This window comes from Homo sapiens, chromosome 7 (genome assembly GCF_000001405.40).
Source record: "Homo sapiens chromosome 7, GRCh38.p14 Primary Assembly".
NCBI lineage: Eukaryota > Metazoa > Chordata > Mammalia > Primates > Hominidae > Homo > Homo sapiens.
The window spans coordinates 34077578-34092031 of NC_000007.14; the positions used below are offsets into that span (position 1 = coordinate 34077578).

The 14454-nt window shown below is 41.2% G+C and overlaps 1 protein-coding gene across 4 annotated transcripts in view; it reads left to right on the forward strand.

Moving 5' to 3' along the window:
* The window catches only part of BMPER (BMP binding endothelial regulator), a 251513-nt gene that overhangs the window by 172663 nt on the left and 64396 nt on the right, over nucleotides 1–14454 (forward strand). For 3 of the 4 annotated variants that reach the window (NM_133468.5, NM_001365308.1, XM_047419939.1), the window contains 2 exons: nucleotides 1280–1609; nucleotides 8179–8515. In NM_133468.5, the coding sequence (NP_597725.1) occupies nucleotides 1280–1609; nucleotides 8179–8515 (667 nt within the window). The remainder of the gene's footprint in view (nucleotides 1–1279; nucleotides 1610–8178; nucleotides 8516–14454) is intronic. The other variant, NM_001410872.1, reaches the window with a different exon arrangement.

Here is a 14454-nt window from a genome sequence, read left to right on the forward strand (position 1 = left end):
CTAATTTAGAACAAGAAATTAATTTATTAAGTTCCAAATGTATGTGCTTTGTATGGAGTCATATGAAATTGACATATAAAATGACATAATATATCATAACATAAAGCAACATTACACTCCAAACACTTTAGAAATTAAAAGCAAATGTTTCCATTGGATCCCCTTGGTGCTATCAGATCAGCTGGCACATCCTTCCTCTGTCTTGACTCAATTCTTCCCTTAGATATTCTGAGAAATTACTTATATGACATTCTCATATTCTTGACCTAGTATTTTTATTCTGGTTATTATTCTTGATCTGGCTATTATTCTAGTGTTGGCTGGAAATTGTGCTTTTTATTTTTTTTTTAATTATTTGGGCTACTATCTCTAAATGGATTCCTCATTTCCTGGTTGTTTCATGCCTTTTTGAAAACGGATAAAATATATTTACATGCAGAACAAACCAACGCCAAGATTTGTTTTAAAAAATAAACAATATTTAATTTTCTATAGAAATCTTAGGGCTGCCCTAAAGTGTAAAACTTTACTTTGATCTCATAAGTATTTGAATTAATGATATTTCAGAATGATGACTTTACTGGAATGTCTTAACTGTACTAAATTATATTTCGTAACTTATTTTTCATCCAGTTTTAGATCATGGTCCTTAGATCAAAACATAGGAATTTTTGGAAAACGTATAAAGACTATCTGTAAATATTATTAGCAATTTGTTTCCTGATACTATTAAACTCGTGTCTGTTTGGCAGTTCTATTGATTTATCCTAGGTAAATACACGGGTGTTGAGTATCAGCTTTCCTTAAGAGCATGAGAAACATTCAGCACACCATGTTTCTAATTTTTTTGAATTAGTTAAATGAAAATCATGCTAATGTCTTGGTGTATTGACATTGATGTTGCTCCCATTTGTTTATTTATATACTTACTTTGCTCTTGTATGTGTGGGTGGTGAAGTAAGGCCAGTTCTTAGTTATCTTAGTTCAGTTTCTTCATTCCCTACGTTAAGATCATGGAAGCATATCTAGGCTACAAAATAGGCATGCTTTGAAAATTCAGAGGTTTTAAAATGACTTTCAAGTATAAAAGAACCAGAAGTATTCTGAGTATTCTGTGAGGTTTGACACGAACCTTTAAAAACGACCACTTTTTTTTTTAAGTTGATTTCCCTTAGTGCATTTCTGCTAAGGCTTCCCCTTACCCAGCAGGTGCCCCTGATTTCTCTGTGAATCCTTGGCTTGGTTTGTGACCCGGCTTTTGTCTCTCACTCCTCCGCAGAGCCCGGCGTTTGCACGGTGTTTGGAGATCCCCACTACAACACTTTTGACGGTCGGACATTTAACTTTCAGGGGACGTGTCAGTACGTTTTGACAAAAGACTGCTCCTCCCCTGCCTCGCCCTTCCAGGTGCTGGTGAAGAACGACGCCCGCCGGACACGCTCCTTCTCGTGGACCAAGTCGGTGGAGCTGGTGCTGGGCGAGAGCAGGGTCAGCCTGCAGCAGCACCTCACCGTGCGCTGGAACGGCTCGCGCATCGCGCTCCCCTGCCGCGCGCCACACTTCCACATCGACCTGGATGGCTACCTCTTGAAAGTGACCACCAAAGCAGGTGGGGCGTCTGTGGCCTCCCTCTTGCTCTAGCCTCCGCCTCACTTACCCGTTCAGCAGCACTGCTCGGTTAGAGCACTCAGGAGATGTGGTTCCTCCTCCGAGCAAAAACCCAAGGCAGAGCCAGGTTCCAACTGCGGGACTTGCCTCATCCCCACTCACAGGGAAGTCACATCCTGAAGATGCCACAAACAGCTGGAGACATTCGGACCGTATGGAGTCTTGCAATTGGATGCCAGTCCCACCAGTCTTGCAATCTTCCCACATCCAGAACCTTTCCATCCTCTGTCTAAAAATAGCAGTTGTACTCTCCACATAACCCCTCTCTCAAGTTTTGTTGCTCTTTTAGGCCGTCGATGCCCAGCTTGGAATTGTCAGTGTCTCCCAGCTCAGCTAGCTATGTGCAGTTTCACATCTGGGAGAAATAGTGTTTCTATGTTAGCATCTGTCCAAGTCTTTGCAGCGGAGTCCTCAAAAGTAAACAGCTTAGTATCAGTGATGTTCAAAAGAAACATAAATGTCCACAGCAGAAGGGCTTGTTCTTGGCAGACTCTGGTATGCAGGAGTAGCCATATTCCACGTGGCTGTTCTATGCCACCGAGGCCCCTTCTTTCTCAGCAGCGCATGGTGCTGTAGGCTCACTGGTCTCTGCCTTTCCACTCCAAGAGCACATATATTCCCCCTTGGGCCAAACTATTTTTGACTGCCAGTGGTCCACGAGGCTCAAACTCTTGTCTGTTACTTGCTACCTAAGAAAGGCATTTTAGAAGCAGAACTCAGTCCTTGAATATCAGCCCCAGAGCATAAATTCAGCTCATTTTCACACTTTGTGTATCATGTATGGTTCCTTCCATGCTACCTTTGGTTAATATATATCTTTTGTCAGTTGGATATTGCACTGCCTTTCCTTTGGCATACTCTATTTTTTTAAAGCATGATACTTCTAAGGAAATCAGTGTATTTCTTGCTGTTTGCATTGATAAGAATTTAACAAGTGTGAAAGTATCAGTTGGATTCCCGTTTCTTTAGATAATGAAACATTTGACAAAGCAGGCACTTTTCAGGGGCTATAGAGACTGTTTTTACCATACCTTCAGAACCCTGGCAATTACTTCAATTCAAGCCAAAAGGTATTTTGATAAGTTGATTTGAGCTTATGGAATGCCAGCCTAGCTAAACTAAGGCAGGAAACCAAGAAGCAGCCCAGGGAGCTTTTAGTTAGAGTATGACATGTTTTCAGTGACAGAATGTTAAGTATTAATATACTGGAACATTTTATAAGGGGAAAAGATTCCTATTCTTTATTTCACAGTTGTGAGAGATCTACTCATTCAAGTTTAGCGGGATTAGTCCTGCTCAGAAAATTCACACACCTGCTCTTATATCCAAAAGACATGGCGCTCTGTAAATGTAGGCTCCAGGACATTCCTTTCAAGGAGGCAAAGTTTTTTGGCTCCCTGTAAAATGTGCGTAAGATGACCCATTATTACACAGCACTAATTAAAAGCACCTTGACTATTTGCAAGCTAGCTGAACACAATAGATTCTACTGATATGGAAATTATTAGTCAACCACAGCCTAGTTCTCAAAGAAATCTTGAGTACTTGAAGATGACTAACAGCCTAAGAGGTTCGATAGTGTTCCATTCGCAGCTGACACAACCTTATGGAATAAATGTACTCTTTACAAAGATTCCATGTTATAAAAATGAGCAAAAGGATGAGGCTAAGAGAATAATAATAGATCATAAATGCCATAATTAGATTAGTGAATTTAACTGTTCTGTGCCTTGAACTCAGTTTTACAATTTCTTTTTTTTTTCTATCTCTCTTTCCAAGATGCAAGTAATTTTCATGGAACTCAATACCCAGCTGAACAATTTCCTGTAGCACACGAATCACACAAGCCCTCTGCTTCCTAGAGAAGAATTCTATTCCTCTGGGCATTGAACTTACTTTACACTTATTCTTTGAATGAAACAATTCTATTTCCAGACAATGGTGTTTTCCACCCTAGTCTTTCCATCTCAGTTTGAACTACCCTTTAGGGATATTATCTTTTTACCACCTATTGATTATGTATTTGAAATATCACAGCATTTCCTTTGAGTGTTCTTCCATAGATTTAAAAAAAAATTTATAAGCTCATGTGATCAAGGGGCACTTTCTTCAAAATAGCAAGTTTCTTCAAAAACTCAAGCCTGCAGCTGGAAGATGGGAGATGGGAGGAATGACTCTTTGACCCTGCGGTTTATGTGCTCCGCACTTACGATGGGATTATTTGGCAGGGTAACACAGGTGGCTGTGTAGTTTGGGTGGAATTAGGCTGTAGTTGCGTAGCTAATATAAAAAGCAGGGTAGAACTAAGGCTTAGTAGCTCGAGAGAGCATTGTCCACTTCCACCACACACTCCCACCCCAACTCTTGACACTTAGCAAATAATTTTAAAATATTTCCTTTCTACCATCTGTTCACTTCATCAACTTTACCTGAAAGAATTACATCACATCTACCTGAAAGCATTAACACATGGAGAGCATGGCTTTTTACTTTATTTTTGGTAGAGCTTTACACTTGATGAACCCAGAGAATACATCCTACCTTCCCCTTTCTTTGGTGTAAAATTTGAATAGAAAAACTATCAATTTGTAAACCTCACTATGGTATAGCTACAAATTTTGCACCTCCTCTCTCCTTTTTGCACGTTCTCTCTCAGTGGACAACAGCAAAAGCAACAATAACAACCAGGAAACAAACAATGCAAAACAACAATATCCACAAAATTAAACAAAAACCACAAAAAACCCAACTAGTGGTCTGGAGCTAGGTCACATATTTGAAGGGGGAAGAACAAGTTGGTAAAGCATTCACTAGTAAGAAGGGAAAATTGGAAGGCCCTTCCTGCAGTGGAAGGAATGTGGCTGCTGCTCGCATCCCCAGATGAGACATATGCTTCAGCTTTAGCCTTCTGACTCTGCCAGTTATTTCTACCCAATTTCCCATGCAGAGAATGGAGAAACTCATCCCAGCTGCAGGAAGGACTATCATCAGCCTCTCAAACCCTTCCATGATGTTTTCATCTCATAAGATGCCTATTTAAAATATTATTTGGAAGAGCAATTCCCTCAATTACAACTTATTAGTTTTTTTTTTTTTTTTTTTGGTCTTTCACTACTGTAATCTACTTTGTATGGATTTTGCTCATGTAGAGGGTAAAAATATCCATGCAAATGCATATGTAGATGATATAGCCAGACAAGGGCATCTGTAGTAGAGTAAGTCATCCCTTCACAATGCAAAGCCTAGCATTGGTCTGTGAAAAATCTTCTTAATGTAATAATGGCAAGGAGAAAGAGGAAGACAGGAGAGTGAATTACAAATTATTCTCTTACTTTGGGGATCGTGTTTTATGAATGAGATGTCACGAGTTTTGAGAAGGGTTTACTGGAAACACGGCAGATCTGCATCTTTCAAAGTGTATGGACCACCAGTCCACTGCAAAGAAAGAACACAGTCATTCACTGTGAGTTGAATTCCCATGAACTCAGTTGCCCCAAGTCTCAAATTTAGTATAGCATTGTCAGTAGTAAAGACGTTGGAAATCCCTGGTGTGTACATTCTCAACCATTTGTGGTACTTAGAAGAACAGTATTTGCCTGCTGTCTAGGAAAGAGATTTGTAGTTTGGAAAATTTTGCAACATGGAAAATCTTCAGAATTATGCTGTAAAAGTTAGACTTTGTATGGAGTTGATTTTCTCCCCTCATTTCTCTTGCTGGGCAGCTGCCTAGCTACAGGCTTGTGAGGTCAAGTTTCTTCAATACCTGACAGAGTGTATTACAAATCATCTTATAGTTTGCTTGTCATCTTTCAAAATGGTTATTTCGGTGTCTTGACAAGCATGAAACTCACAATGTCTTTGGCTTCACAGATTGAGTGTATCAGTGTTACCGGGGTAATTCATTTATTTACTGAGTACGTACTATGTGCTATATAACGTGTTGGATGATAGGGTGTGAAGAAATAGAATTCGTTTTCTATGATAGTTGTAGTTGCCAGAGTTGACATGGTCTTCTCACAGAGATCCACATGGGAGGTCAGCCCAGCCTGTGGGTTTCCAGCTGTATGTCCCTTCTCTCATACCTGGTCCCATCACTGTCTTCTCCTTATCAAATTATTCCCCAAAGAGACTTTCCTATGGCTCTCTTTCTTCTTTATCTAAGTCTGTTTAATTTCTTTTCTGAACTCAGACTCTTCTCTCAACCAAGAAATCTCTAAAATTTTTTTTGGTCTAAGAATGTTTCTATTTCTTCCATTGACCATACAGTGATTTCCTTATGGGTCTTTCCATTTATTTCTTGAGAAACCCAGTTTTAGACTGTGGGTTATTCTACCAGTATCTCTCTTTGAAGTAACTCTTGTGGCAGTTGTATGACCTACTCATAGGAATGCTATCTGTCAGCCTTCTCTCCTCTTGGACTATATCCAGACTTCAGGTGTATTGGCTTAGGAGTCTTACCTCTGGGTGTTTCTTCCTGATCTTCCACACATCACTCTGATGTTGCTGCCTTATGCCAATTTCATATCTAGACAAGATCCTCTCTCTCTCTCTCTCCTTCCCTCCCACACTCCCTCCCACTATTTCTCTTGTCCCATCACCACCTCATCTTCCAACTTCTGAACATTTGCTCATCAGCTTAATCTTGATCTTTCAGGAACAAAAAGCCTTTTAGGAGGAAAGTCATTTTGCTCTTTCCAGCAGCTCAAAACAGGCAAAATGAAAAATGTTTTTGTCAGGATCACAAGAGGAAAGATTTAAAAAAAAAAAAAAAAAAAAGGCCGCATGCAGTGGCTCACGCCTGTAATCCCAGTGTTTCGGGAAGCCAAGGCGAGTGGATTGCCTGAGCTCAGGAGTTTGAGACCAGCCTGGCCAACACAGTGAAACCCTGTCTCTAAAATACAAAAGATTAGCTGAACATGGTGGCATGCACTTGTAGTCCCAGCTACTCGGGAGGCTGAGGCAGGAGAATTGCTTGAACCCGGGAGGTGGAGGTTGCAGTTAGCTGAGATCGCACCACTGCACTCCAGCCTGGGCGACAGAGCAAGACTGTCTAAAAAACAAACAAACAAAACACATGGCCACACGGGGTAAGTGGGCAGAGACCATTCTGTTAAAAAGAAGCTTCCTCTGTGGGTGCCAGTCTTTGGAGACAGAGAGTGAATTAGGAGAAGTCCCAGGGCCGAAATACACCTTGATCCACTGTAGATGTTTCTTGGTGTCCATGCCACAGGTGGCCACTTGCATTCACTAGTACAAAGTTCACCCATTCACTGGGGAGACTCAGGCACTGCCAGGGTGTTGCCAGAACAGTAAGAAAACACACATTTGAGACATAAACAAAAACTCTGGCTAGAAAAGTTTGTCATTTGTTTTGGGTTGAACCTCAGAAGACTTTTCATGAAAGCCTCTCCTTTCTTTTATGGGTGGTATCTTCACACACAGTGTCAGAGTGGATATGACAGCATTTCTTCTTGACCTTCTAGTCAGATGTATCTATGCTGTGTGACAGCATAACATGGCTGTTCTACCTGTGACATAAAAATTCCACCATTCAGAAGAGTCATTGGCCAGTGTGGCTCCTGGAAGTCTTGGGCCAGCATGTCTGGAGGTATATGCATACTTTCAGATAATTTCTTCAGCATTTTAGATAGTCAGCTTAGCAAACCAAGAAGGGTCTAAGTTCTCTACATTCTGGAGTAAAGAGAATTTCCTTGATGAACCAGCAGTACTGGCCTGCTGATGTATGCACAAGAAGAACTCTTGCCCATGGCCTGGTAGCCTCCACCACCGCCTGAAATGTTGAAGCTTTTGAGCAAACCCAGAACGGAGGCCTGAGGGATAGCAATTAGAAGGGTTTCACAACAACTCAACCCCAAACCCCAAGAAATGTTAATCAAACAGTGTCCATGCCTCAGGAATGGTTGTAAAATAATGAGGGAGCAAATGTTTTCATTATATCAGTGTTGCCTTTGAAGGGGATATATTCAGAAACTAAATATTGATTGCTTTAGTATTCTCATTATAGGAAATGATTTGGAAATTTTCCTTTGGCATTGGGGGAATAATTACATGGTGGAATTTCTGGCTGTAAATAATTGCATTAAAAAACAATCATCTTTTTTTTTCCATTTGCACATTGTAGTAGTCATTAGATAAATGAAGGCATGATTTGGACCAACATGATTACCTTAGGAAAAGGGAAAAATATAAACCCTAGAATAGGATGTCAAGGGATAGTCATCTGTAGGTCAAACCAGGGGTACATAGGATGTTATCAGGACAAACTTTATACGGTTTAAAAATTCTAAGCTCCAACCAGCAAATGACTCAGATAATTTCACACATTATTCACTATAGTGAGATTAAGAGGTAACCAAGAATTTGGACCAACCCTTGGTGCTCCTTATTGGAGGACAGTCAGTCATATGTTCTGTGTAAGGATGTATACATTTGGGAATTATTAGTGCGTTAATGAGTGATTGATTTCCTTTTCCTCTCCTCCTCCTCTAGGTTTGGAAATATCTTGGGATGGAGACAGTTTTGTAGAAGTCATGGCTGCGCCGCATCTCAAGGGCAAGCTCTGTGGTCTTTGTGGCAACTACAATGGACATAAACGTGATGACTTAATTGGTGGAGATGGAAACTTCAAGTTTGATGTGGATGACTTTGCTGAATCTTGGAGGGTGGAGTCCAATGAGTTCTGCAACAGACCTCAGAGAAAGCCAGTGCCTGAACTGTGTCAAGGGACAGTCAAGGTAAAGCTCCGGGCCCATCGAGAATGCCAAAAGCTCAAATCCTGGGAGTTTCAGACCTGCCACTCGACTGTGGACTACGCCACTTTCTACCGGTAAGTACAGTGTTCTGGGGAATGGTTTTGGGTTGCAGACCAATAATAGACTTGACCTTGGAACATGGTGTATGAAATCTCTTGTTGTGCAGGACAAAGGCTCAAAACCCAGGGTAGGCATCTTCTTGCTGTCCAGGAGCTGATCTCATCTTGAGTCAGCCCCATTCTAGGTCCCAAATTGGGAAATTCAAAGAAGTATTTCAGAGCGATGTCCTCCAGGCAATTCCATGCTTTTATAGGTCTGCACGTTTACTGGAAAGCTGGCTACACTGCAGGGTTTTTCCAGGTGTTAGCTTAACTCTAAGATTGAGGAGGGCTTCCCAAATTCTGGCCTAAACCACAGTAGTACAAGGCAGAGCTGGTTCCCCTAAACGGAATCTCAAGTCACTTGGCTGCCTTTGGGTGTTTGAATGAGTCTGGTTATTCTACCTGAGGAAGAGTTTAGGTCTGCCTTATGGTCTAGCCCACATCAAATGTGCACATGGAAAATAAGGAAGCAAAATGAGAATTATTTGGATCTTGGCCAACTGTGAGACTTCACGTCTAGAGTCAGATGACAGTAGAAACAGGGCTTGAGGATGGAGGGAGGAAGGACTCTTATTAAGACTCAGGACTCCATAACCTTTTCTAACTCTTTTTAACCCCCTTCCACGCAAAGCAACTGGTTACAAAGGAGACTTGGATTTGACTTCCGCACTGCAAGGTTGTGTTTCTGAGTTGATGAGTTTGGCCTGGGTGTACTTCCATTTACTACACAATTCCATGGGTTCAAGAGCTATGGCTGCCTATAACTTTAACCACTGTGGGTGTGGGAGGAAACACAAGATGAACACAGCCCAAAAGGCCTTGTTTAAGTGATTTGCCTGTGCCTCTTAAAATTAGAAAACTCCTGTGGTCTGAAGCCACAGAGAGGTTATTTTTACTCTTTAATTACCACCAGTTTATTTCCCCTAGTTCTCATTAAATATGATTTTTTTATTTGATCTTTGGACATAAAAGATAAAGTTCTATAAAGGCGGCTCGAAGTGGGGTGGAAAAAAGACTGTCCCTGTCATCACAAATCCCCGAACATGGCTGTATGTGCCAAACCATTTGGCTCCGAGTCATGGGTTTAGCTCCTTCAAGCCATTTTCCTGTTATAACTTGAATTCTCTGGGTTCCCTTCTTTCTCCTCTCTGTACCACCCCTAGACTGACCTCTTGTCTAGTGAAACTGAGGGATCTTAACGTGAGACTTTGCAGTGAGTTAAACAGCTAGATAGACAAACCTGGCTTTATTTGGAATCTAAAAACCCTCACTTGAAGGTCTGATGGAAAGCAGTAGAATATAGCAATTAAGAACTTTGTGGTGCCCCAGGATTCAAAATCCAGCCCAGCTATGCAACCTAAAACAATGACCTAAGCTCTCTAAACCTCACCTTACTTATCTGTGAAGTGGGGATAATAAAAGAACCTACCTTGAAGAGTCGCCATCCAGATTCAGTAAGATTATGAACATGAATGCATGTGCTTAACACAATGCCTGCACATAGTCAGCGCTCTATAATTGTTGCCATCATTTCTTCCGTGATTAATTCAGTAATGAAGAAGAGTAAGATCTCTTTTGGAAGCTCCTCTATCCTGTTTGCAAATTTGGATTGGACCCTTCTCTGCTTAAAATAGAATGGAAAGGCTGTGCTTCTCCCAGGGCCAAGCAGCCTACACCTTTGATTTTTATCCCATTTCAAAGGGATGTATTGAAAACAAAAATTGGAGAGAAGGTCTGAAGAGATTAGTTTCTTTTTTGAATTTCTATGCTTTTTGCCTTCGGTGATTTATTTAGTGTTATGATTTCTGGACTGCAACAGAAATATGATGAGCGCTTCAACAGAAGTTACGAATGATGACTTGGGCACTTATGAATAAAGAGCATTGGATTCCTTAGGTGGCCAGGCAAATGCTCCCCTTCTGCCCTTAATGATTCTACAGCATCTACAATGGAGGATGCTTAGCTGTGTAAAGGGCTTGATGCCCTGAGTTGGGCAGCTCATGAGAATGTTCTTGGGATCCTTGTGCATGGAGATTTAGAGGCCAGGATGTGGTGGGAAGTAGGCTTGTGCTCTCCTGATCAGTGTCATTGTGTCATGGTAGAGTGCCCTTCCACAGTGGGCCACTTCTTCCTGGAAAGGGCAGAGGAGCTCAGGAAGGAGAGCTGGGCAATTCTGCCTGCCCTGCCCTCTGCTGGTGATCTCACAGTCCAACAGGAGGATGCACCTTCATGAACCTGAAAGGGAGAGTGGCCAGTGTTGGCCAGATCCTGTTTCTCCCCCTTATTTCCAAGTGCATGTGTGGCAGAAGAAGAAAATAAACCAGGTGCAATGTGGAAAGATATTCTCTTCTCAGTGGAGCTCCAGAAAGGACCTAACCTCAGGGTTTGTAGGAGACTTTATGGAGCAATGGACTGAGAATGAGCCGTGGGGAAGGGGACAGCAAGCTGGACTCCAGCCCAGCTCTGCCACTGTTAGCAGTGTGCCCTGGTGGCTAGCTGAGTTCAACATCCTTTATCGAAAGAACTGATACACAGTAACTACCTGGCAGGATTGCTCCTCTGAGGACTGAGGCCAGTGGAGGGTACAGCGCTGGCACACGGTAGTCCTGGCACAGAGCGTGCTGCTGTCCTGTATCTCTTACTTTCTATGGAGAAGCTTGCCCCTGGATTCACCGTTTACCTTTCTGATTGTCCACATTTTCTCCTGATGTCATCACGGAGGACTGATTACATAAACTCCCCCTGATGCATCTGTGGAACAATCTCAAAATCAACTGTTTCTCTTTTGCGACACTTCCTCCAGGTAGTGTAAGTGACGATTGCATTGCAATCGTTTAAAAAACTATTGTTTTTTGTCTCATGAGAATGTCATGTGTTCATTGTACTTGTAAATAATGTTGAAAAAGTAAGGCAAAATCAGCAATCATACATCCCACACATGTAAATTTTTGCTGGTACATTTGATATCATTGGTGGAATTTCTAAAATGAACCCAAAAGTATAGTCAGATCTGTGGCTGTGACACATTTTTTGAGCCCTTACAAGACTCAAAAATTTATTTTATTTTCCCCCCATTCTCCAAAAAATATCTGTATTTTCCTTTAAGGACAAAGAATGAAGTAGCATAACACACCCAAATAACTTTCTGAGCACCACTGTCTTGTAACAGAGGGAAGGGAGAATGCAAATAGAGTATTTTTTCTGAGAAAATATTACCCATTTTGGGTTTCCTTACTCTTACAACAAATCCCACAGGGCAAATTCTATGATAATTATGAGATAATGCTTCTTATAAGGTCAAAATAATAATGACAATGTCTCTGAATTAGGTTTTACTTTTGAGATGTCTATGGTTTATTTTATTTTATTTATTTATTTTTTTGAGACAGAGTCTTGCTCTGTCACCCAGGCTGGAGTGCAGTGGCGCAATCTCGGCTCACTGCAACCTCTGCCCCACAGGTTCGAATGATGCTCCTGCCTCAGCTTCTCAAGTAGCTGGGATTATAGGCGCCCACCACCACACCCGGCTAATTTCTGTATTTTTAGTAGAGATGGGTTTTCACCATGTTGGCCAGGCTGATCTCGAATTCCTGACCTCAGGTGATCTGCCTGCCTCAGCCTCCCAAAGTGCTGGGATTACAGGTGTGAGCCACTGTGCCCACCCTGCAATGTCTATGGTTTATAACTCCTATTTATTTTGGTCTTTTATTCAATTTAACATTTTTAATAGTAAACAGTCCAGTGTGTAAGTACTTGAAAAACTACCACTTTGTAAATGAATGAGAAATTACTTCATAGTAATCAATATTTCTTTATTTTTTTCTGTTTTGGGAATTTTTTTTAAGCTTCACAAATCAATTTGACCCATTTTGGCTAATTTGGCATAAAAATTTGATATATAATTAAGTTCTTTTCAATCAGCATAGCTTGCTTTAATTAACTAACTGAATATGTTTGGGTGCAAAATAATTTAGTTACAAACTGCAGAAAAGTTTTAACCAAATGCATTGATAACACATCTCAAGTCTTAGCTTTGCTAATTGACTTCTCAAATTAGATAACCCTCTTTAATAATTGTTTGCATTATCCTTTATTAGTGCATTATAGAAATTCCTGGGAGCTGGAGAGGCAGTGTACTGTGTACCCACCTGGAAAAATTAACGTGAAGTTGTTTAGATTATATTTGGATTCAAATGTAGGCTACCTCGAAGAGAAAAAGTGTTGGGTGTGTTCTTGCCTTCTTTCTCCTTTTTCATCTCATATTCATCTCTCTTCTCCAGCCTCATATTGCTTCTCCCTTCATGTCCCAGATGCCAACCGAGCAATCCAAGAGGAATAGGCAAACTCGCACCACAAAGGCTCTCTGGAGATCCTTAGCAGCCAGTATCAAACCTACCTTCCCGCTGTGGACTTAGGCCACAGGATAGGACAAGCCCTGGGCAGCCTGGGGCACAACGAGAGGCCAGGAGATGAGCTATGCCTTTGTGGGTCAAACTGGGGAAAGTTTTTTATTCCTTGTGCCTATGAAATACCAGCAATGGGCTTTTTCCCTAACTCGACTCACATCTTGGAAGAAATTGTTGCAAGTAAGTATAACTTGCCCACAAAGCAGAACTCTTAAGTTAGGGCAGGACTGCATTTCAGAGAAGTCAGAAAAATGAATGTGAAGTGCAGTGAAGCCCAGACATTTAGAGACCACAATCATCTCAAGACTGTTTTCCTCTCTGCACTCTCCTTGACGGGGTATCATTCACCAGAGCGAAAACCCTGTTCACTTGTTCAGTTTGGGAAAGTGTCTGGGGATTCCCAGTCTAGGAAATGTTCTTTTCCTTCCATGCAGTGGATTTTACAGCTGTAAGGAATTGAAGTCATGCCAGAGGATTCACAGATGTGTCCTTTCCTGTTGAGGTACTGGGAGGTAGGAGGTGGGAGGTCGTGCGGGAGAACACTGGAACTCTGACAGGACCTTCGTGTTGGATATACTGGGATCCTGGGACTGCCAGTGGCTTGCATCCAGGGGAAGATCACAAACTTCCTGAATGACTGACTTTGTATGTTCTTACAAAGGAAACTGATCACTTATTATAAAGCAATAGAAAATATACAGGCAAGGGGTACAGACTTTATGTGTTTGTGTATGAGAAAAATCATATAAAGCTAAATGCTATTCTATAATTAAAATCAAGTCAATTTCCCCTACTTCAAAGAACAACATGCTTGAAAACATTTTTGTTTACATCTTGTAATGACTTGTCAAGAACTGCCATTAGAACTAGGGTCCTAAATCAAATGGGATGTTTTATTTTAAAGTGTGACATTGTATGCCTTTTATTTTTCCTTAGCCGACTCAACTGTTAGGTCACACTGAGTTCGTAATTAAGGTATGCTGACACCAGGTGGCAGTAGACACCGCAGTTGTAGCACTTATCACATTTCAGTCCTTAAAAGTCTGTTTTTAATTCACCGTGTCTACAAACACAATGAACATCCCTGCCTCTGAGTTCATGTCATTCTCCTGCCTCCCTAAGATGCCTTCACTTTCTACATTGATTTAACCCACTTATGCCTAGTGTTCCATTTTTGGAACTCTAAGCATGTAGGAGTTATTTATATCCTACTGCTCAAGGTCATCACCAAGGTCTGATTGAAAAAATTTTTTAAAAATGCAACCTCAGGCATGAATTAAGCTGAAGACACAGCTCCAGTTTCATCCTAGACTTTGGAAAATGCTCTTTAGTTTTTAGTTATTCCAATTGTGCTTATTATCATTTAACTCATGTTCTATGTTGCACTGCTTCTTATTTCTTCAGCATTGGATTTTAAGTTCTCTGGGGAATGGGGAGCCTCTTCTTTTTTGACCCTTTTGTATTTCACCCAGCACCACCCATAGAAGGGCTGCTTCTCCTAGCCTG